At 36.1% G+C, this 2,465-nt stretch overlaps 1 protein-coding gene across 1 annotated transcript; it reads right to left on the bottom strand.

Moving 5' to 3' along the window:
• Nucleotides 1-329: 329 nt before the first annotated feature.
• Nucleotides 330-1,280, bottom strand: OR10A7 (olfactory receptor family 10 subfamily A member 7). Its single transcript, NM_001005280.1, has one exon. It carries the CDS (start codon nucleotides 1,278-1,280, stop codon nucleotides 330-332), a length of 951 nt encoding a protein of 316 aa, NP_001005280.1.
• Between the last annotated feature and the right edge of the window lie 1,185 nt (nucleotides 1,281-2,465).

Below are 2,465 nucleotides of genomic sequence, written 5' to 3'. Positions count from 1 at the left end.
TTTTTTTTAATAGTTGTAGCATTCTATTGGTTCCAGTTAACACTCCTTCTACTTGCCCCTTCAGGCCAAGAAGTGTAAAAGTTCTGTTGTATGATCTGTGTGGCTATTACCTAACCTTGTTCACAATTTCTAAATAGCCCTCTCATAAAGCGTTTTCTCACTTATCCCAATTCAGGAGTACCATCTCTTTCCTGCTAGGAACCTGAATGATACACAGAAATGCACCCACCAGTTAGTGATGAAATAAGAGCAACTCTTCCATTCCGTTTTAAGCTTTGGTTAGTAGGTTCTGCTGTCCCTACTTTGGAAGCATTCTTACACAATAGAAGTCAAAACACATCTAACTTCTGTAAGACTTTTTGAGTGATTGTCCTCTTGACAGCCCCTTTCACTTCATTGTTCCTCAGGCCGTAGATGATGGGGTTTAGCATAGGTGTGATGACAGTGTAGGACAATGACACTAGCTTCTTGCTCTCAGGGGACTGGTTTGATTTGGGCCGCAGGTAGGTCAGACTGGCTGTTCCGTAGAAGAGGGACACCACAATGAGGTGTGAGGAACAAGTAGAAAATGCCTTCTGGCGGCCAGTGGCAGAGGACATCCTCAGAATTGTTATGATAATGCGGGTGTAGGAAACCAAAATGAGACAAAAGGGAAACATGATAAACAGGAGTGTGGAGGCAAGTGCTTGCATTTCATACATGGTTGTATCCACTGTGACTAGTTTTAACACTGGGGGACCATCACAGAAAAAGTGGTCCACGGCATTTGGTCCACAGAAAGGAAGGGCCATCATCCAAGCTGTCTGTAGCATAGACACAGGAACACCGGACATCCAAGAGCCTATGGCCATCCACAAGCATAGGGACCTGTTCATTATGACTGAATAATGGAGAGGGTTACAGATGGCCACAAAGCGATCATAAGCCATCATGGAGAGAAGGAAACATTCAGAACTGCCAAAGAAGAAGAAGAAGTACATCTGGGTACCACAGCCCACAAAAGAGATAATTTTCCTTGGGGACACTAGATCTACAAGCATTTTTGGCACCATAACCAAGGTGAAACATACTTCAAGAAGTGACAGATTTTGAAGAAAGAAGTACATGGGTGTTTGAAGTGCGAGATCCACACTGGTAACTGTGACAATAAGAAAGTTGCCCAACAAAGTGACTGTATAAATGGCCAGGAAAAAAATAAAGAGGGAAACTTGCATCTCGGGGTTGTTTGTAAAACCAAGAAGAATAAATTCAGTGACTCTGGTGTGATTTTCACAGATCATATCTTAGATGAGTTTCTCTCTAAAAATCAAAGTATGTGCATCAAAGGGTATTAAATCAATATAGAGGTAATCTCAAAAATAATAATAACATCCATAAAACATCTTTATTCTCAGTTGTCTTACCATTCTGTTTCTCTGAAGCAGAAATGATGTTTATGATAAGATAAAATTAAGGAAAAATAAACATTCTGTATAAATCTTACTCATTGTTTACCACCTAGATGTAATTTTTTTCTCATGAGTAGTCATAGTCTGTGCTCATATTCTTCAACGTAGGCATGCTATTTTGTAGGATAAAGTGGAAAGAGTGTAGATAGATAATTAAAATAGAATAGTGTACTAATTTTTAAATGATTTCAGGATGCAATAAAGATAAATAATGGGCTAGTTTGACATTCTAATATTTAATTATATTAATCACATTTCTACTGAATATAGTACATTTTATACCATTCATCCACTATAAATATATACATATACCAACATGCCCAGTACACACACACACACACACACAAGAAACTTAATAAATAAACATAATATATGCTTATGATTTTGGTGCTTCTCTGTAGTCTCCATCAGCCTAATAGTTTATGACATTTTTATATTGTCTTTTGAACCATAACTCAACTTCACTGGGCCCCCACTTCTTATTATACATAGAGTTATAGTTATATTGTTTAAGCTATATTTTTTAAAAACTTCCAAACAAATATGACTTACAATAGAGAAATATCCTCCCAACACTCATCTTAACTTTTCTCTGCCAAAATAGTTCCTCTCATGACTGTCCATCTTCTTTAAAACTTCATGATCAGAAGTAGGGTACATATACTTACTTTTGTATGTCAGCTGATCCAGTCCCAAAAGCACTAATTCAACCATTACAAACTCAAATACTATATCTTACTTAGAGCAAAATATTTTGGCCAACATTAAATTATGCAATTGTTTTCTTTACAGGAGGTCATTCTTAGTACCAAAATTTAGCAATTACAGGAGGATGTGTTAGAAAAATAATTTTTTCCAAATATTAGAACTGGGTAAATATCGTATCAATTATTTTACATACTTTTTAAATTTAATTCAGAAAAAAATGCATATTTCATTTTATAGTCAAAATAATTTAAAATAGATATCCGCTCCTGAAGTCAGTAGGTAAAAACTTACAGTGTATGGAATCATTCT

This window comes from Homo sapiens, chromosome 12, assembly GCF_000001405.40.
Source record: "Homo sapiens chromosome 12, GRCh38.p14 Primary Assembly".
NCBI classification, from domain to species: Eukaryota; Metazoa; Chordata; class Mammalia; order Primates; family Hominidae; genus Homo; species Homo sapiens.
This window is presented reverse-complemented; position numbering and strand designations above follow the sequence as displayed.

What these genes read in the sequence shown, in the direction of transcription:
- OR10A7 (NM_001005280.1), bottom strand. Translation starts at nt 1,280, where the DNA reads ATGATCTGTGAAAATCACACCAGAGTCACTGAATTTATTCTTCTTGGT.